The sequence below is a fragment of the Homo sapiens genome, chromosome 6 (genome assembly GCF_000001405.40).
Source record: "Homo sapiens chromosome 6, GRCh38.p14 Primary Assembly".
NCBI classification, from domain to species: domain Eukaryota; kingdom Metazoa; phylum Chordata; class Mammalia; order Primates; family Hominidae; genus Homo; species Homo sapiens.
The window spans coordinates 6,634,677-6,655,515 of NC_000006.12; the positions used below are offsets into that span (position 1 = coordinate 6,634,677).

Sequence of the window (20,839 nt, forward strand, 5' to 3'; positions counted from 1 at the left end):
CATTGCAGAGCCTTCTCAATCTCACTGTCTGCATCAATTCAAAATTCTGTCTTAACAATAATATCTAGATCAGCAGTCAGATCCCATCAGTTAGATTTCTATGGCCTCCTCTATTTCTGTTTCAATGTGCTCCTTTCCACAGATCTAGGAAATGAAGGGAATTTGGGGGGAGTGCTGGGAATGCAATCTGTTTACTGCCTAGATTTGGAAAAAATCCACAAATGCTTTCTGCAAAATGCCTTACCCTCTGCGCTGCTGGAGTAGAAGACAGGGCTAAACCACCTTCCCAGCAGGTGCTACTTGAAGAAATTAATCTATGCTGATGACCTGACAACCTCTCTAAAGCATGCTCCCAGCCATGGCCCCACTACCATGGGCTTCATGATTCAGTTGTTTCATGTTCACTGCACATACATTAACAAATGCAAGCCCAGGAATTCAGGCATTGATTTAGGCTATAACAGAAGGGGAATAAGCAGCTTAACAGAAGCCTAAATTTAAAAATACAGTAGTCTCCTCTTACCTGATAGGGACATGTTCCAAGACCCCCAGTGCATGCCTAAAGCCATGAATAGTAACAAATTTTATATTTACTATTTTCCCCATATATACATATACCTATGATAAAATTCAATTTATAAATTAGCCATAGTTAGAAATTAACAATAACAACTAATAAAATAGAACAATTATAACAATTTACTGTAATAAAAATATGTGAGTATGGTCCCTCTTTCTCTTCCTCTCTGCCTTTCTCTCTCACTCTCTCTCTCCCTTTCTCTCTCTCTCTCAAAATACCGTAACATTTTCAGGCCACAGTTGACCACAGGTAATTGAGACTGCAGAAAGTGAAACTGCAGATAAGGGGGACTATTGTCTACTGTACATGTTTTCTAGGGTATCACCTATGTTATACTTGTTTGCTCACCTTTGATTTCTGGGCCATTTTAGACTTCCTGCTCCTTCAAAAGCTGCAGGCTTTCCATCCCCGCACTTCATTCCCAACCTTCCCCAATCCTAGCTTCTGGTCCTGCCCTTCAACTGCTGCCAGTATCCCCAGTGACAAAGTGGCTGAGATGGGAACTCATGTGCCTTGGCTCCTCTTCTCGTGGATGGATCTATAGAGCCATGGAGGGAGTGCTAGCTTTCTGTGACCTGGAAAATTGCACTATTTCACCTGCCATTATTATCCCCACTGTCATTTTGTAGCTGCAGGCAGCATGTTACCAAAACCAATATTATTATGGAAGCATTTCCTGTCCCCTGACTCATCAGACTGCAGTGCTGCCGCTGGAGAGCAGAGACCTTAGCCCAGTCCAGTGGTTCTCAACCTTGAGCAGGCATCAGCATCACCCGGAGCCCAGGTTCAACCACAGTTGCTGGACCTAGCCCCAGGGTTTCCAGTTTCGTACATCAGGTGGGGAGTCTGAGAATTTGCATTTCTTACAAGTCCCCCAGTGAGGCTGATGATGCTGGCCCAGGGACCACACTTTGAGAACCTCTAGCCTGGTGGTTATGCACAAGATTTGAAGCCAGACCTACATAGAGCTGAATCTTTACTGCCACTTACCATTTATGTGAACTCAGACAAGTAACTTAATCTCTCTGAGCCTCAGTTTCGTCATCTGTACAATATAGAAAATACAAGTGACCTCATGGGATAGTCATAAGGATAAAATGGGATAATACACATATAGCCCATAGAATGGCGTTCTGCACACAGCAAGCATTCAATAAGTGATCCATGGCAGCAACTTTGTGCAGCTGATGACAGGTTTCTCAAGCAAGGGCCCTGAGCCCCTCAAGTCATCATCTGTCTCAGACTGGAAGTCTGCATTTTAACAAGGCCCATGAAGAGGCAGTGGAGTCATTGAGGCTTAGAAGTTTAAGACCTTTTCCTTACAGGTAGCAGGAAGATGCCTTTGGTCTAAGCCTGCATATTTTCTGATGGTTGAACAAGGCGAAGTTTCCCTGGCCCTCTTGTCCCTGTGGGGAGAGAGTGTCATTTGCATCTCTCATGGAATTGGAAATTTGAAGCACCATCATCTCCCCTTCATTCCTTTCTTCCTTTCATGTATTATTCCTTGTCTCCAGACTTCAATGGTAGATTTCCTGCTTGTAAATACCAGGCAGCTGCTGCTGCAGCAAATTCATGCAGAATCACCAAAAACAATGGTTTACTTATTGCATTAGCCGAACTCCTACCCTCGAACTGCAAAAAAAAAAAAAACAGAACTAAAAGCAGTAGCCACCCTCTAGAGGGTACAAGCAATGACTAAGCAAAAGAGTACTTTTTCTTGCTAAATGGAATGAAAGGAAGCATATTGGTTTTTTTTTTTTTTTTTTTTTAATGAGAAGGAGTCTCGCTCTGTCGCCCAGGCTGGAGTGCAGTGTGATGTGATCTCGGCTCACTGCAAGCTCCGCCTCCCAGGTTCATGCCATTCTCCTGCCTTAGCCTCCCGAGGAGCTGGGACTAGAGGCGCCCGCCATCACGCTCGGCTAATTTTTGTATTTTTAGTAGAGACAGGGTTTCACCTTGTTAGCCAGGATGGTCTCAATCTCCTGACCTCGTGATCAGCCCACCTCGGCCTCCCAAAGTGCTGGGATTACAGGCGTGAGCCACCGCACCTGGCCACATACTGTTTTTTAAGGAATTCTAGAGCCCTGGGTGCTTTCTCCCCATCCTCAAATGCAAGCATGTTTGTAAATGAGCCAACCATGCTGCAACTGTACTTTGACATCAGTCAATTCTTTATGTTCCTTGAGCCCAGCATACTATGACTAAGGATGACCTAGGACCAGAAATACTTTTAATTTTCTAAGACAAACTTCTTTACAAATCCTTGACCGTTATGGAATTTCATAAATCCAGCTCAGTGACATACTTTGATGTAATAATCGTTTAGGAAGCTAATTAAGATGGCCAACTCACGACTCCCCCACATCACCCACTTGGATCCCAGAGCTGCTGGTATTTGCATTTTAAGAAACTAAACATCCCGAGAGCCCTGAGTGTGTGAGCCCGGAGCCCCCCAGTGTGAGAAACGCAGCCCTCTGTGATGTCTGTTTGTTTAGCTTTCCAGTCGCATTACTCTTTCCCAGGGTTGCCCAGGTTTCTGAGGATCAAGTCAATTTCTTCTCTTTGCTTCCATCATCATCTACTTCATTTCCATTTCTAGGAATCTAATCAGCCCACCAATTTATAAGTCGTATTTTGAATGTCGTATGAAGTATTTGTCCACAAAATTTAGGAACTGGTTGGTAGGTGGAACAAAAAAACTTAAATTCTTTTTGTTTTGCTGCTGGAAGTTAGGTATCTCTCAGAGGGGGAAGCTGGACAGCAGACAAACAGGGCTTGCAGACAGAATGCCACTGAAAAAGTCATTTTCCCTGCTAGGCCCCGCTTCCTCAGCAACGACTAAATAGTCGGCACCATCCAGACAGTAGCTACTGGCCCCTGCAGCCATTAAGTACTAGGAGCATGGCCAGTCCAAAGTGAAATGTACAGAATACACACCGGATTTTGAAGACTTAGTACAAAGTATGAAAAAAATAATGTAAATATCTCATTAAGACTCTTTATATTGGTTCCATGCTGAAATGGTAATATTTTTAATAAGTGGGTTAAACAAAATATATTACTAAATTAATTTCACTTATTTCCTCTTCCTTTTTTTGTATAGTTACTAGAAAGTTTTATGTCGCATATATGGTTCACATTATATTTCTCTTAGCCAGTGCTGATCTAGAATTGCACTGTCCAATATGACAGCCACAAGTCACATGTGGCTATTTGAAGAATTTACATTTAAGTTAAATTAAAAATTCAGTGCACCAGTCCTACCAGCCATATTTCAAGCTCCTAATAGCCACACATGCCTGGTGACTACTGTATTTGATGGCGTAGACACAGAACATTCCCATTTTTGTGGAATGTTCTATTGCACAGATCTGACCTAGTAGTATCTATACTGCTCTATTTTTTTTTATTATTATTATACTTTAAGTTTTAGGGTACATGTGCACAATGTGCAGGCTAGTTACATATGTATACGTGTGCCATGCTGGTGTGCTGCACCCATTAACTCGTCATTTAGCATTAGTTATATCTCCTAATGCTATCCCTCCCCCCTCCCCCCACCCCACAACAGTCCCCAGAGTGTGATGTTCCCCTTCCTGTGTCCATGTGTTCTCATTGTTCAATTCCCACCTATGAATGAGAACATGCGCCCAGCCATCCCATTACTGGGTATATACCCAAAGGACTATAAATCATGCTGCTATAAAGACACATGCACACGTATGTTTATTGCGGCACTATTCACAATAGCAAAGACTTGGAACCAACCCACATGTCCAACAATGATAGACTGGATTAAGAAAATGTGGCACATATACACCATGGAATACTATGCAGCCATAAAAAATGATGAGTTCATGTCCTTTGTAGGGACAGGGATGAAACTGGAAATCATCATTCTCAGCTCTAAAGTATTTTTAACAGTCCATCCTGAGTTCGTTTGTGAGTTTATGTTAGAAATTCTACTCTCTGGCCCAGCCCTAAACCCAAGCACTTTCTCTTCTGCTCAAATCCTAGGTTACATCCGTGTCATGGTTCTGAAGGGCCCTTTGTGGTGAGCACAAATACAAACAAGCCACAAGCCTTGTCCCTTCTCAGGCTCATCACCTGGTCCCTCCTTTCTTAATCCAAGGCCGCTGTATTAGCTTTCTATAGCTGCTGTAACAAATCACCATAAACGTAGCCATTGACAACACCATCAATTGATTCTCTTACAGTCTGGATATCAGAAAGCTAGCATCAAAGTATCATAGAATTGTGTTTCTTCTGGAGGCCCAGGGAAAGCCGGCTTTCTCGCCTTTTTCAGTTTCTAGAGGCTGCTGCGTTCCTCGGCCCGTAGTGGCATCACTCTACTTTCTGCTTCCATCTCCACCTGGCCTTCTCCTTCTGATCTCCTACCTCCCTCTTATAAGGACCTCTGTGATTACATTGGACCCCCCTGGGCCACACAGGGTAATCTACCCATCTCAAAATCCTTAATTCAGTCACATCTGCAGAGTTCCTGTTGCCATATAAGGTAACATATTCACAGTTTCTGGGGATTATGATTTGGACCACTTTTGGGGGGTCCTGCACAACCCCCAAGTGGAAAACCAGCATGCCTTGCTGAACTCTGTGTGCCATGTGAAAAGGCCCAAAACTGTGTATAATACGGGAAAAACTCAAACTCCATAGGTTTTCAATTAAAATGCTTTCATAGAAGTCCAACAACTCTGAGAACTTCACAGATAATGCGCTTGCTCACAAATCTGAGGCAAGAGATGAGTCTTTCTGTTAGGAGATTGTATCATTGCTCCCAAGGGCTTCCCTTATTGGGCCATTATTGTCACTCTTCCCCCATAAAACCACCACCTGCATGCCCTCTAACCAGAGGAGAAATGATTTGGCTAGGAGTCAATGACAGCCCATGTGCTGTGCCCATTCTTGGCAAAGAAAGATGGTAAGATGGCAAGGAGTCCTTCATCATGTTTGTCATGGAGAGAAAACCAGCTTCTATTAGGAATAAAAAGTGTAGGGAGAGGCCGGGTGCAGTGTCTCACACCTGTAATCCCAGCACTTTGGGAGGCCGAGGGGCACAGATTGCTTGAGCTTAAGAATTCCAGACCAGCCTGGGCAACATAGAGAAACCCCATCTCTGGAAAAAAATAAAAATAAAAAAAAAAGGCAGGAGGGGGCAGGGATAGCTGGGTGCAGTGGCTATGCCTCTCATCCCAGCAGCTACAGAGGCTGCGGCAGGGAGGATTTCTTGAAGCTGGGAGTTTGAGACCAGACTGGGCAACATAGGAAGACCCCCATCTCTAAAAAATTTTTAAAAATTAGCTGGGCATGGTGGTGTAGTCCTGGCTACTTGGGAGGCTGAGGCAGGAGGATCACTTGAGCCCAGGAATTTAAGGCTGTGGTGAGCTATGATCACACCATTGCACTGCAGCCCTGGGCAACAGAGTGAGATTTCTCTCTAAAAACAAAACAAAACAAAAAAAAAAGAAAAAGAAAAGGAGGGTAGAGATGAGTATATCTCTGAATCATTGCAGAGGCCTAAGGAGAGGACCATGAGTGAAGAAACCCAGGAAAAATTCTAATTTTATAAATGATTCATTACAAGTACACAGTGAATGTTTTCAAGTTGTAAATAACATTAAATTTCTCTAGGTAGTGAAAGGCCGTAAAATAAAATCTCACATGCCTCGTCAAACGGACAGGGAGAGATATCAAAGTAGAGTTAGCTGGAAGCAAAACTAAGATAACTTATGTATAGAAAAAGTCATCCAAACTCACATTATACAGTTATGAGTTCTCAAGTACACTTGTGATTCCAAAAACACCTCAGCAACTATTCCCAGAACACGCTGACCCTTCACACAGCCAATGGGGTGAGACCAAATATGCTGGACATCCCCAAGTAACATTTAGAAATAAAGTTGAGCAAGTTCTAATTGTGGAGCAACAGAAATAATCCTCCAACAAACGGCCATTTGACTTGCCAAAGAGTCCCAAAGTTTTCAAATCCACTTTATTAGAGTTAACTTGATTTATTATAGGTTATTCTACTTATGCACTATTGGACACTTGTGCGCTATTCAGGGACAGTAACTCTCCATCCAACTGAATGAAGAAAACAAAGACAGAGTTCACCGTGCCCCCCTCCTGCTTCCTCCAGTCCCTCTTTTCTAAAACTCACAGGCTTCCTCGCATACCCTCTTCCTCCCCTTGGAGCACAGCTGTGATCTTCACCTCTTGTCCCTGTCACTCAGCTCCTGTCTTCTCCCAGAGTGTGAGATTCAGAGAATTCAAAGAGATAATCCAGGGCATGAAAATTCTCATTCCTGGTCTTTGGCATAAAAGTCAAGGAACAGGTTCCAGGGCATTCGGGTACCATTTCTGAACTAGGTGGTTCCATCACAAGAAACAGGTGCAAACGTACCAGCAGCCAGGTGGCTAGGGCCACCACTAGCTCATCCATGGTCTTGGTATACATTAGAAAAAGGGGCACCTTCTGCCAGGAAGTGTTTCTAGTTTGGGGTACCCCCAAGTAAAGCCAGGTTCAAGGACTTGGGGGTGGGTTGTACACTGGGCTGGGGTGCCAGGAAGCCAGGGTGATGGGGAAAGCCAGTAAGAGATGCATCAGGGAGCTGATTACCAGCACAGGGAGCTAGGGCTCCATCCCTCAGCAACCCCTGGGGAACCGCAGCGTGTGCCTCAGAATTGTCCTTCTCAGGGTCAGGAGGCTTCAGGAGTTCACATCCCTGCACTTCCCAGTTGCCCTTCACGGGCTTCTCTGAAGCAGGAAAGCATGCAGAGGGGCAGCCCCTTGACATGGAGTAATGTCAGAGGCCCTGCTGATGCCCACTCCAGCAGCCGGGATTCCACCAGGGGCTGAGAGGATGTGGCCCCGACCCCTAAAAGCATATGCTGCTGGGATTCAGCCCAGTCCTTGGCTACAGGCCCTGACCCAGTAGGGCACAGCTGGATTTCTGATCCCACTTAACCCTGAGCCAGGCACATTCTGTGCAACTGTATGGGGAGAACTGGAAGAACCCCCTCTGAAATGGAGCAGCCAAGCCTGCAGCACTGAGAGTCCCGGGAGGACCCCTCCAGGGGAGACACAAAGGACTCAGAGGCTCAGAGGATAAGAGTTGAATGGCCCGGGAGCTTGAGGAGATGCCAAATTAGGACACACTGAAAAATAATACTAAAAAGTTACAATTAGGCCTGGCTTAGCTTGGAGCTTACCTACCCACACTGCCTGGAATCCATGGAAACCTGAAGAAACCTCCAGCCTTTAAGGCCCACTGGGATCTAGCTACCGTGACATTCGCCCTGAAGGCAGTGGACATTCTTATCAGTCCCTACTCCAAGGCAAGTTTGTTATTACCTTAAATGAGAGCCCTAACTTACCAGCTCCAAGTCTTAAGGGAACAGTAAGGACTACATCCTCGAGGGTCAGAAACTGAAGAAAGCAAAGCTTCAGATCAGAGGGGATGGGATGAGAAGCAGTGCCTGGGCCTTCCCCATCTTCCAGATCTGGTTCTCTCGGGAAATACCCAGAGGTAAGGAGAGGAATAAAGACTGTATCCAGAGCTCACTAGAACGAAGCCATGCACTCCCTCCCTCCTCCTCCTCCGGAGACGATGCTCTTGGTTGGTCTGGAACATCCTTCCCACCTTCCTCTTCGTCCTCTGGCCCCTCACCTTGGTCCTCCATTCACCAGATGTCATCACAGACTCTGAGCTTCCTCCCACTTTGCTCTTGGCCTCACCTGGAGGGGAGAGTGAGGGCTGCATCCTCCCAGGTTGACACTGCCTCCCTGCATGCAGGTATCCCTTCCAGATACTGATTTCATCTCCTTTGGATATATAAATACCTAGAAGTGGGATTGCTGAATCATATGGAAGTTCTATTTTTAATTTTTTGAGGAATCTCCACACTGTTTTCCACAGTGTCTGTACTAATTTACATTCCCACCGACAGTGGGAATTTCTCACAGAATTAGTCACAGTAGCCAAGATGTAAAAACAACAGCGACAGATGAATGGATAAAGACAATTTGGTCTATACACACAATGGAATATGATTCAGCCTTAAAAAAGAAAGAAATTCTGCCATTTGCAACAACGTGGACAAACCTGGAGGACCTTATGCTAAATGAAATAAGGCAGACAAACATTGCATGATCTCACTTACAGGTGGAATCCAAAAATAAAAGTCAAACTCATAGTAAGAGTAGATGAGTGGTTGGCAGGGTCTAGGGAGCATGGGAAAGGAAGAGATGGTGGTCAAAGGGTGCAAACTTGCAGTTAGAGGATGAGTAAGTTCTGGAGACCTAACGTACAGCACAGTGACTACTGTTGATCACAGTGTATTGTGCGTTGCTAACGGAGTAGCTCTCCAGTGTTCTCACTACACACAAACACACATGCACGCACACAAGCATGCATACACACAAAAACGCACATACATTCACACACAAATGCATGCATGCACACGAACACACACGTGCAGGCACACATGTGCACACAAACACACACACACGAAAGGTGACTATGTGAGGATATGCTAACCACGTTATACAACTTAAATATATACAATTTTTATTTGTCAATCATTTCTCAATATAACTGGGGCAAAAAAGAACACTGCCTCCCCTCTACCCTGCCCTACTGGGCCCAGCAGGTGGGAAAGGGACTCAAAATGCTAGGTAAATGAATGAATGATTTTTTAAACAAAAATATTTGTTCTGGATATGCCAATTGGCCTAGGCATCATAATTATAACTCTTGAGCATTTTTATACTGTTAAGCACCCTAAAAATGCTTCAGCATTAATGTACATTTTATAATAAATTTGGGAAATCGGCAGGAATTCCAGCAAGATCCTAGCAAGGGCTAGGAAATGGGGAGAGGGTTGCCTAAAAGAGTTCATGCAGTCAGCAGGCTGCATCTGCGCTGGTTATTGAGAACAAAAAGAGGCAGACCAGGACACAGGACCAGCCGGGTGCAGTGGTTCAGGCCTGTAATCCTAGCACTTTGGGAGGCCAAGGTGGGTGAATCACTTGAGCTCAGGAGTTGGAGACCAGCCTGGACAACATGGTGAAACTCCATCTCTACAAAAAACTAGGCGTGTATGGTGGCACGCACTTGTAGTCTCAGCTACTCAGGAGGCTGAGGTGGGAAGATGGGAGGATCACCTGAACCTGGAAGATGGAGGTTGCAATGAACCGAGATTGCACAACCTGGGTGACAGAGCCAGACCCTGTTTCAAAAAAAAAAAGGAAGACACAGGCCCTCGTATCAAGTTGATGTCACCCAAAACCCTTGGGACCTTTTATTTCCACAATTTAAAAACCAATTTTCTTTTCAAAAAGACACTCAGTGACAATCACCCAAAGATCTGGGTCAAAAAAAAAAAGCTGATATTCAGAAATGACTTCAAGTGTTCAGAACCAGGGAGGTGAATTTCTTTAATCCACTGCACATTAAAAACTGATAAAGATTGCACATGAAAGGAACGGAAGAAATGGGTGCAAATATACTGGGGCTCTTTTTATAGTCCTGGAGTGTGAGAATGTTAATTAAAGGAATCTCAGAATTGGAGAGGATCTGAGAAAGGATGGAGTGAAAATTTAATTTTAGGTGTTGTTTTATCAGGTTAAAAAAAAAGACAATTTCATGAGTTACTTGCAGTTACCTCAAGAACTTCATGAGCCCCCAAAAAAGCTCCAATTGAAACTGTAAACTGTAAGAGACCAATTTAATGAAAACCTCTCAGCCCAGTGAAGGACCTCTTAATGGTGAAGAACACAAATGAGCAAACCCCGGGAGCATTAAATAAGCATAACAAAATGTTAGGTATCATTAGAGTGTTGTTCTTCAAAGAGTCATACTCATCCATTTTTTAAAACGAAAGTTTAAAAAAAAGGCACAGACAGAACTTAGAAGTTACATACACTGGCTCAAGCAAGAAGCTCCAAAACCTAGTCTCATTGCGTATTTCAGCATCCACCAAGTGAATGTCCATTCTGTTACTGTTTTTCACACCTGGGTAAATAATAATATAGTTAATAACTAATTGCCATTTCTACCCTTCCTGGGGACCACATTCTGCTCAGCGGCTTTACACACAAGTTCTCCAGTCCTCTCAGTGCTCTATGGGGAGGCATTGCTATTTCGATTTGCAAGCACAAAAGCTGAGTTGCAGGATGGCTGAGCAAATTGCCCAACATCACTTAGCTAGTGAGTCAGAGAGCTGGGTCTCAAACCCAAGTCTGTCTCCTTCCTAGGTCAAGGAAGGAAGGAAGGAGGCTGTGCCACCCTACAGCAATTTGTAGAATTTGTAGAATATACCTGCACAATTTGTAGAATATACCTGCATAAAGCAGGTATAAACATGCCCAAGGGAACCCAGCCAGATCAGACAGGGATGGCACACCAGTCCTTGTTCTTGGATTCTGCTCCTGAGCCACACTGTGTCCAAACCCTGATAGCCAGCAGGAGTGCTCTTGGCTTGTTCATGCCCGTAGCAGCCACATCCTGAGTTGCAAGCAGAAGACACCCAATCCAGCCAACAAAAGCAAAGGGAATTTCTTGAAAGGACATTTAGGAGTCACAGAATTGGCAAGAAAGCTGGAACACCAGGCAGAAAGTGGGCAGCTCTAGAGACTGATGAGTTCTGCTTCTCTTGCCAGAACAGATTGGGAAGGGGTCTCTTTGTCTCTCTGCTCTGATTGTCTTGGCTTGGGTCAGAGAGTATCTACTGGGAAAAAGATAACTTCCAAAAACGAAATCATGTTCCAGTAGCTGAACCACTGCAGTGCATATCTGTTAGGGGCACCATTAGCATAGATTGCAATGCAAGGGGTGCATCCTCAGGCTGGGCAAAGCACCAGCATGACAAATGAACCCCGGGCAGGATGTCCCTCTGAACCCTCTATATGTAACCACATATTAGTTACAGTGCCTACATGTACTGCTCAGACAGGTTAAGTAACTTGCCCAATTAATAGAAAAAAGAGCTCAGATTCAAGCCCAGATAGTCTGACCCCTGGACGTGTGCTCTTAGCCACGATGCTTCGAATACACAAAGTTTGCAGTGCTGGGGGATCACAGGGGAGGCAGTAATCACTGAGGGGCTGGGCAAGGCATCATCCTTCTTGCTGACTTCAATACTGATGTGGATGGCCCACCAAGCACCATGATGTCTCAGTTCTTTCACCCCCTTACTTCCAACAACCATTTCCATCTTTACACCTCAACCACCATCTCTTATGTCAACCCTGGATATCTTACAGCCTGTAAAAATGCACCCTTTCTGAAATCTAAATGCCAAGCCCTCTGCCATGTGGCTTCCTCATATCCTGCCAGCTCACCAATTCTAGCACCTTGACTGCAATAATAGAAACTCCATTCAACTCACTTCCCCACTGTTACAATCAACAATTCCCTCCTGCCTTCACTTTCTTCCTTACTCGCCATAGATTCTACGGTATATTATTATAATCTTTTCCTTATGTCTAACCCAACAGCCTTCACTTTCTCTTCTTTTCATTCTTATCCAGTGAAACTCCAACCCAACCATTGACCTTCAGTAGCATCAGAGCTGCTGAATGTCTCTAAGAAAATATACATCTGGGCTAACTGGAGTATCTTTAAATTTATGGCCACAAACCTCAAAAAAAAGCACTCAACACTGCCTAGAAATCTTACTGTATTTCTCAAGTAGATTTCTTCCCCACTGTCCATGAATATTGTATTCCTCCTTTTGCTACTCAACACAACACAGGCACTCGCCATCTAGTGCCCCCTACCTGTCTGTGACCTTCACTGCAAAAATGAAAGTAATCAGTCAGGAGCCCCACTATTGGTTTACTGGCCCATCTACAAACGTATCTACACCTGAACTCATTCTGCTCTGTTTTCTCTCCTACAATTGTGGGAGTAATATTCATGCTTCTCTCAAATGCAGGAGGGAGTGTTAATAGCCTTCCTTTCCACCTTCTTAAACCCTTCATGTCTTCAGTTATTCCCTCTTCTGCATCTTCAATCTCTCTTTCTACAAGATTATTCCCTTGGAACAACAAATATGGTACAGTATCTCCCATCTCGAACAAAGAAACAAGCCATTCTTAATACCACACTCTCCTTCAGTTATCTTTTTTTTTCTTTTGCTCCCTCTTATAACAAAACTCTTAATTCCTCACCTCCTTATCTCTCTTCAGTCCACCCCATTCAGGCATCTGTACTCATCTCTCCAGTGTTCTTGTCAAGGTCACCAAATGACCTCCATGTTGCCAAATCCACTGCACAGTTCTGTTCTCATCTTACTCAGACTCTCAGCAGCAGCATTCAGCATGGCTGGCAATACCCTCCTGTTTGAAAAACATTCACCTCCTGGCTTCCTTGATCCCTCAGTCTCTGACTACCATCCACTCCACTGACCGTCTCTTCTTAGTCTCCTTGGTTGGCTTCTCCTCAACCCAACCTCTGAATGTTGGAGGGCCTCAGGAGGTCCTGTCCTCTCCTCTGTTGATTAATTCTATCTCCTTTGGGTGAGGGAGGCATCTCATCCTGTCCCATGGCTTAATCACCACATGTTAATAACTCTGATATTCATAGCTCCATTCTTACCTTTTCCCTAAAATTCCAGACTTGTATAGCCAACTGCTTCCAAGGATTCTTATTAACCATCTCCCAGAAATAGAGCTCTTCAATCATCACATACACACACACACACACACACACACACACACACACACACACACACTTCCTCATCAGGCTTCCCTAATCTCAATAAATGGCACCCCCATCTATCCAGATGCTCAAACCAAAATCTTCCTGGCCCCCACTCTCTATACCCACTCATCAGTGGGTGCTATCACCCAACACAGCTGTGATCTCATTCGTGTTCTCTACCTCCACCACCACCACCCTTCACCAATCCATCATTTACCTTGGCCACAGAAGAGCCTTCACACTTGGCCTCTCCTCTGCATTCTCTACACAGCAGAATGTCTCTGCAAAACATAAATTAGCTATTTTGACATGACTTTTAACACATTTCCACTGCCTCTGGAATGAAATCTGAACTCCCTACCATTTCCTGCAGGTCCTGAAATATCTGTCACCCCTCAATCTTTCCAAGCTCTTCTCAACACAGTTCCTCTTGTTCACTGTGCTTCAGCAGACTCATCTCCCTCTATCCTCCTAATTTCCTAAACTCTTTTCCACATCAAGGCCTCTGTCCTTATTTTGTTATTCTGAGATGATCTTCCCCCAGCTATTTAAATGCTTGGCCCATTCTGCTCCTTCAGGACTTGGCTCAAATGCTACCTCCTTACAGACGCCTCCATGACCTGCCACCCTGTGGAACATGGTGCCTCCCAGTTCCTGGCATTAGCAAGTATTCATGGAGTGCTTCCCAGGCATTGTTATTAGTGCTGTTTATTGATTACCTCTTTTAATTCCCCACCACCCTAGGAAGTAGTTACTGTTATTGTCATTATCTTACCCATCTTGGAAAAAAGAAAAAAACAAGGAAACTGAGCCCAAAGAGATAACAACTGTCCACAGTCAACTAATCTTGGGACTTAACCCTGAGTAACCTGGATCCAGCCTGGCCCCTCCCCCACCACACCCTCCTGCCTCTCTCATATTACTTGGTGTCTCTTTCCAGCACTTGTTACAATCTGGATATCGTCTTGTTTAGTTATTTCTGAATCATCATTCTCCTCAGTAGAATATGCATTAGTTCATTTTCATACCACTATGAAGAAACACCCAAGACTGGGTAATTTATAAAGAAAAAGAGGTTTAACAGACTCACAGTTCCAGAGGGCTGGGGAGGCCTCACAATCATAGTGGAAGACAAAGGAGGAGCAAAGGCACATCTTATACGGTGGCAGGCAAGAGGGCGTGTGCAGGGGAACTGCCCTTTATAAAACCATCAGATCTCATGCGACTTATTCACTATCGTGAGAACATCACAGGTAAAATCCACCCCCATGATTCAGTTACCTCCCACTGGGTCCCTCCCATGACATGCAGGAATTATGGAAACTACAATTCAAGATGAGATTTGAGTGGGGACATAGCCAGACCTTAACAGAATGTAAGCAATGTGTGGACAGAGACTTCTTTTTTTCATCCAAGGATCCCCAGGGCCTGCCACATGGAAGGTGCCCGACCAATATTTGTGGCATGAATGAATAAGTGAATGAATGGTAGGTGTAGATCAGGAAATGAAAACATTTCTAGCAATAGCTGCTCTTATTTTGGTGCCAATAATTGTCACACATCTGTGTAACCACAAATCATGTGAATGAATCATTTTTTTAAATGATTGAATAACATCATCTATGCTTTATATATTTTTTCAGAGCAGATTTACTATGCTGGGCCTGTCAATAATCCTGAATTTACTATTCCTCAGGTAAGATATTACTTACTTCTTGTATTAAATAGTTTGTTTCTTGAAGAAGAAGAAGAAGGCTAGAAGGAGGGAAAGGAGGAGAAACCAAGAAAGAAGAGAAGGAAAGAATTAAACAGTTTAAAACTTATCCATAGGCCATCCCTGCAAAAACCCTTTCTTAATAAAACTGCTGCTTCAGAGTGGGCACTTGAAATTTCTTGACACACTGGCTTTGTCATTTTGGCATTTAATATTTTACATGTCAGTGAACCTTAGGGAATCCTCCGAGTACAAACCTCCCACTGAGAGGGATGCCGGCGTCTTGTCCAGCAGGATTACGGCATTTGTGGGGTTCCATATGGCAGTGCTGCTGGGCTGTGTGGGCGGCACCATGCATGTGCTGGGACCGAGCTCAGGAGGCTGGCGGTTCAGAGAAAGGAAGATGCACAAGCCATGAAGGCATGAAGGTCCTCCAGTTACTGTCCTTTCATTGTTACTCATAAGCTGCCACTAAGTCAATAAAATGCCCACATCCTTAGCATTTGCTGGCAAAGCTCACAGCTAAGAGTAGAATTTTCCACTAATTCCTTTCTGTTCAAGATAATGTGACATTATTAAATGACTCAATTTACATCACTCTGCTATAAGCAATAAATGTTCAATATGCTACCCCTCAGATAATGGTTTTTTTTTTTTTTGAGAGAGTCTTGTTCTGCCTCCCAGGCTGGAGTGCAGGGGCATGATCTCAGCTCACTGCAACCTCTGCCTCCCAGGTTCAAGCTATTCTTCCGCCTCAGCCTCCCAAGTAGCTTGGACTACAGGCACATGCCACCACGCCCAGCTAATTTTTGGATTTTTAGTAGAAACAGGGTTTCACCATATTGGCCAGGTTGGTCTCGAACTCCTGACCTCGTGATCCACCCGCCTCGGCCTCCCAAAGTGCTGGGATTACAGGCCCCTCAGAGAATCTTATGGAACAATATGAAAAGGATCACAAAAATGTGATTTTTTAAAATGCATGCTGATGTATTCAGTACATGTGAGATTTGGTTATGTGTATGTAATATGTAGTGATCAAGTCAGGGTATTTAGGATGTCCATCACTGAATACATTTTTCTTAACTATAGTCACCCTACTCTGCTATCAAACACTGAATTTATGTCTTCTATTAACTGTGTGTTTGTACCCTTCAACCCACTTCTCTTTATACTCTCCCTCTCATCCTCTCCCTCCCCACTCTGGTATCTATCTTTCCACTCTCTATCTCCATGTGATCATGTTTTTTAGCTCCCACAGATAATTGAGAATAAACAATATTTGTATTTGTGCCTGGCTTATTTCACTTAAGATAATGACCCCCAGTTCCATCCATGTTGCCACAAATGACAAGATTTTATTCTTTTTTATGGCCATATAGTATTCCATTGTGTATATATACCACATCTTCTTTATCCATTCATCCATACATAGACACTTAGGTTGATTCCATGTCTTTGCTGTAGTGAATAGTGCTGCAATAAGCATGGGGGTGCAATTACAAAAATGTAATCACTTTAAATAGTTTTGTTTACAACCTCATCCTTTCAGTTCTCCAAAACCTGTATTTGGCTGAAGAAAAAGGTCTCTTTCTCCATAAAGAATCTCTAACTTAGTTTCACCTCTGGGTTTGTTTCCTTTCTTTCCCAGCCTCTGTGTTCCTATGTCAGAGTGCCATCTTGCTACCATCTCAGATTCCCACTATCATTGCTCTTGCAGCTGGGAAGTCTCCAGCCCTCTCCCTCTGGAAATCTCTAGTTTCCTCCTCAGGCCTTTCAGTAAAATACAAAAGTTTTGCAAGAAAGAAAAACTACACCTGTCTTCACTTCTAGTATGAGGGCCCTAAACTCTCCCAGAGAGTTCCATTTTTCTTTAAATCTTTGCTATTTGAATTGTTTTTCTTTCCCCATTGTTCTTCTGACCCTCCTCCCAACTAGAGGCTGACTTAAAATTTACTAACAATTGACTTTCACTTTTGCATTGTTGGCTTCTTTTTAAACCAGTTACTCAGCAACTGTTATAAGATAGAGGGGAAAAGAACTTCTTAAAGTCAGAAAACCCCTTTGAAAGTAAGTTGAGAGGCCAGGCACAGTGCCTCATGCCTGTAACCCCAGCACTTTCGGAGGCCGAGGCAGACAGATCACTTGAGGTTGGAAGTTCAAGACCAGCCTGGCTAACATGGTGAAACCCCATCTCTACTAAAAATACAAAAATTAACCAGTCATGGTGGTGCACGCCTGTAATCGCAGCCACTCGGGAGGCTGAGGCATGAGAATCGCTTGACCCCAGGAGGCGGAGGTTGCAGTGAGCCGAGATCACACCACTGCACTCCAGCCTGTGCAACAGAGGAAGACTCCATCTCAAAAAAAAAAAAAAAAAAAAAAAAAAGGAAAAAGGTTGACCAGATAAGTAAAAAGCTTTATTTTAATCACCTACAGTGCATGAAGGAAGTGCAGAACGTAAGTTCTTCAACCGCTGATGGTACTCAAGCAAATATTGCCCAGTGTGAGGGCATCGCATGTACAGCAGAGAGAGCTGGAGGCCTTAATCCCAAAATGGGCTCCCTACACCGGCTGCAGGTCAGCCGTGGCTGGCCCGCAATGCACGGAGGCTTTGCTTTCTTAATATGGAACAGACACAGTTCAAAGACTTTTGGTTGTAAAAGACGTACCCCATATCCCCTCCTCCAGCTAAATCCTCCAGAGATGGGCTCTGGGCTAATGGCAGTTCCCATGTGGCCAAAAACGCTCCCACTCAGCGATCATTCTCCAGGGTCTTGGTATTATTTCCCTCTGAACTCATCCAACCCCTTGGCCCGGATTGAAGCCCTACCTGCTGTCCTCTGTCTATGCCTCCTGCTTTCTGAATGAAAATTTAGGGGATCCTTTGGGCTCCCGAAGCATGTGGACAACAACTTGTAGGCACAGCCTGACCCATGTATTGCCAAAGGTGCACCTACAAATTCCTAACTTACAAACTCTGTGCCCTCCTCAACAGCAGAAACGCTGCACTCAGTCCTTCCCTACCCTGGCCTCCTGGCCTCCCAGCACACACCTCCATCTGCCTCCAGCCTGGCACGCTTGCCTAAATATTCTTATCTCTTATACCAGAGTCTGTGATATCTGTAATTCATAATCTAGAACCCCTTCCTTCAAATACAACAGCTCCTCTTAGGTTCATAATGTAGTAATGAAAAATTCTTGTGTTGTTCAATACATTTGTAGGTGTGTGTCTAAATGCACATAGAGATTTTAAAGAAAAGTACATGAGGAGGAAGAGAACGATGAAACACAACGAGATATAAATTTGAGCCGGTCTTTACTCATAATTAATTCTCTAACATTTGGACTGCTTTGGTTATATTCCTAACACTATTTCTAAAATTACAGCTGCTCAATATTTGAGGAGTGTGACTCATGGGAGCGTCTAGAATCATGGAATCACACCCAAGGCACCATCCAGAGCACAGCCTGGTTCTCTTGAATACAATTTCAGTGTTGGGGACTCCACTCTCTTTGGAAGCTCTGCTCATTGCTAGAAAGTTGCTCCCTTCTAACAAAAGCCACCTTTCATGCAGCTTCTCTCCGGTGGTCTCACCTACTCCTTCCCTCTTGCTTTATACAGATTAAACTCTTTCCTCCTTTGGGTGACAGGCAGTTCAAAGATGTGCCAGCAGTCTCCTGGCCTCCTCTGCCACAGTCCCTCTGCTCCGCTTGCGACCCTCCAACCACCCCAGAGCATTTTCCTCTCCAGATTCGTGTCTACAAACACATCACCGCTCCGTGGCTGCTGGGGTGCAGGACTGGGGTGCTGGCAGCAAACAAAACCAGAATGGCTCTTCTACAGTCCTCATAGGACCTGGCTGCCAGGTGGCTTCTGCCAAGCTGACTGCAAAGGAAGGGAGACCTCCTTACAGTGTTGCTGCCAGCAAGGATCCCCAAAGGCAGCCATTCTTTCTGTGATGGTGCATTTTGGTTTTGTGCTGGTGAACTGTGCTCCCCGGGGTCTTCTCTGTCTGAGCATACAAACCTTTCTCCTTCCAGTTGCTCAGGCCAGGAGCCTTGGAGTCACCTTTAACCCATTTCTTTCTCTCCCACCCACTTGCGTTTCCTCAGCGGATCCTATTGGCTGTTCTTTCAAAATCTCTCTGGCACCCAAAGCCTTCCCCCACCTCCACCTCTACTCCAAGTCATCTTCATCTCTCACCTGGATTCCTGCAATCGCCTCCCATCTGGGCTTTTCAGTGAGGCAGCCAGAGGGATCTTACCGACACAGGCGCCAGGGCAGGCCACCCTCTCCTGACCAGAGTCCCTTTCAGAGTGGAAGCTGATGTCCCCACCATGGCCTTTGAGGCCCTAAGAGTCTGGCCTCCTGTGTTGCCCTTACCTCACCCCCCCCATCCCCCCACTCCCTGCAGCCCCACTGGCCTCCTTCTGCCCCTCTAAGGTGGGGGCCCCAGCCCATAGCAGCACTGCACCTTCTTGCATCTGCTTCAGGTCTTTGCCTAAATGTCGTCGTCTCAGCAGGGCCTCCTTTCACCACCCTGCTCAAAATTGCAGACCAGCACTTGCCTTGACCCATCCAGTGCTTCCATCCACTCCCTTCCTGCATGAGTTTTCTCCATGACATGAGCACCTGACACACCATACATAGTCACATATCATAAGGGTGGTCTGTCTCTCCCAGAGATGCTGTCAGCTCCACAGGGCAGGGGTTGGCTTGTCTTGTTCTACGTTATCCACAATGTCCAGAACAGCACCCAGCACATAAAAGTTTCTCTGTAAATATTTGTTAAATGGTTAATTGTACTGTGGGTCACACGTCTAATACTTGACCTGTGCCCCTTGCAGGGAGAATACCAGGTTTTGCTGGAACTGTACACTGAAAAACGGTCCACCGTGGCCTGTGCCAATGCTACTATCATGTGCTCCTGACTGTGGCCTGTAGCAAAAATCACAGCCAGCTGCATCTCGTGGGACCTCCAAGCTCCTCTGACTGAACCTACTGTGGGAGGAGAAGCAGCTGATGACAGAGAGAGGCTCTACAAAGAAGCGCCCCCAAAGAGTGCAGCTGCTAATTTTAGTCCCAGGACCAGACATCCCCAGACTCCACAGATGTAATGAAGTCCCCGAATGTATCTGTTTCTAAGGAGCCTCTTGGCAGTCCTTAAGCAGTCTTGAGGGTCCATCCTTTTTCTCTAATTGGTCGCCTCCCACCAGACTCACCTGCTTTTCAACTTTTTAGGAGTGCTTCCTCACAGTTACCAAGAATAAAGAAAGCTGGCCACCATTGTTCATTGTGGTTTGTTCAAAGAATCTTACTACAATGCTGTAGTTAAAAAGTCATTTCCTCCAGATACAGTGCCGGATGCTGGTGCAGCATAAGCAGTTCCAAGAAATTCAGGAGGGTGACAGCCTGGCTAAAATTAGAACACTGGGAAAATGTGCCATTGCTTCTCCTGGGCAGGCCCCCACCCTTGGACCATGAGGGCCGAGAAGCTGATGCAACCTCACGAATAGGGACATCATACTCTCGCTTATCCAAACATTCATTTCACCTTCATCCCTCAAAGCATGATTACACTTGACCTCAGCATATGCTGGCGTTCATTACTGCATTCATTAATGAATGCAAGGAATAACTCCTGAACACTTAATGTGTATCAGGTGCTGTGTTCTTAAGTTGTCTTCTACGATGCTCTCCGTAAATGAGCATGTTGCCCATGCTACTTCCAGAGCCATTTCTGCGGCCCCGTCTTCTCTCCTGGGATGCACTGATCGCATGGTGGGCTGCATAGCCCCTTCACCATCCGACGCCCCTGT

At 44.9% G+C, this 20,839-nt stretch overlaps 1 protein-coding gene across 1 annotated transcript in view, besides 2 other annotated features; it reads left to right on the forward strand.

Moving 5' to 3' along the window:
- Positions 1-20,306, forward strand: part of LY86 (lymphocyte antigen 86) — a 66,263-nt gene extending 45,957 nt beyond the window's left edge. Inside the window, exons 4-5 of the mRNA NM_004271.4 lie at positions 14,949-15,001; positions 19,868-20,306. Of these exons, the coding sequence (NP_004262.1) occupies positions 14,949-15,001; positions 19,868-19,951 (137 nt within the window). The 3' untranslated portion in view covers positions 19,952-20,306. The remainder of the gene's footprint in view (positions 1-14,948; positions 15,002-19,867) is intronic.
- Positions 8,662-8,711: an enhancer, noted in NCBI's record as "active region_23925". NCBI's record gives its function as "activates an Ori minimal core promoter by ATAC-STARR-seq in GM12878 lymphoblastoid cells {active_cell/tissue: GM12878}" and the evidence as "EXISTENCE:reporter gene assay evidence [ECO:0000049][PMID:35858748]".
- Positions 19,181-19,371: a silencer, noted in NCBI's record as "fragment chr6:6654090-6654280 (GRCh37/hg19 assembly coordinates)". NCBI's record gives its function as "represses an EF-1alpha promoter that drives an FKBP-Casp9 reporter gene in an ReSE screen in phorbol 12-myristate 13-acetate-treated (for megakaryocytic differentiation) K562 erythroleukemia cells {active_cell/tissue: K562(+PMA)}" and the evidence as "EXISTENCE:reporter gene assay evidence [ECO:0000049][PMID:32094911]".
- Positions 20,307-20,839: the final 533 nt, after the last annotated feature.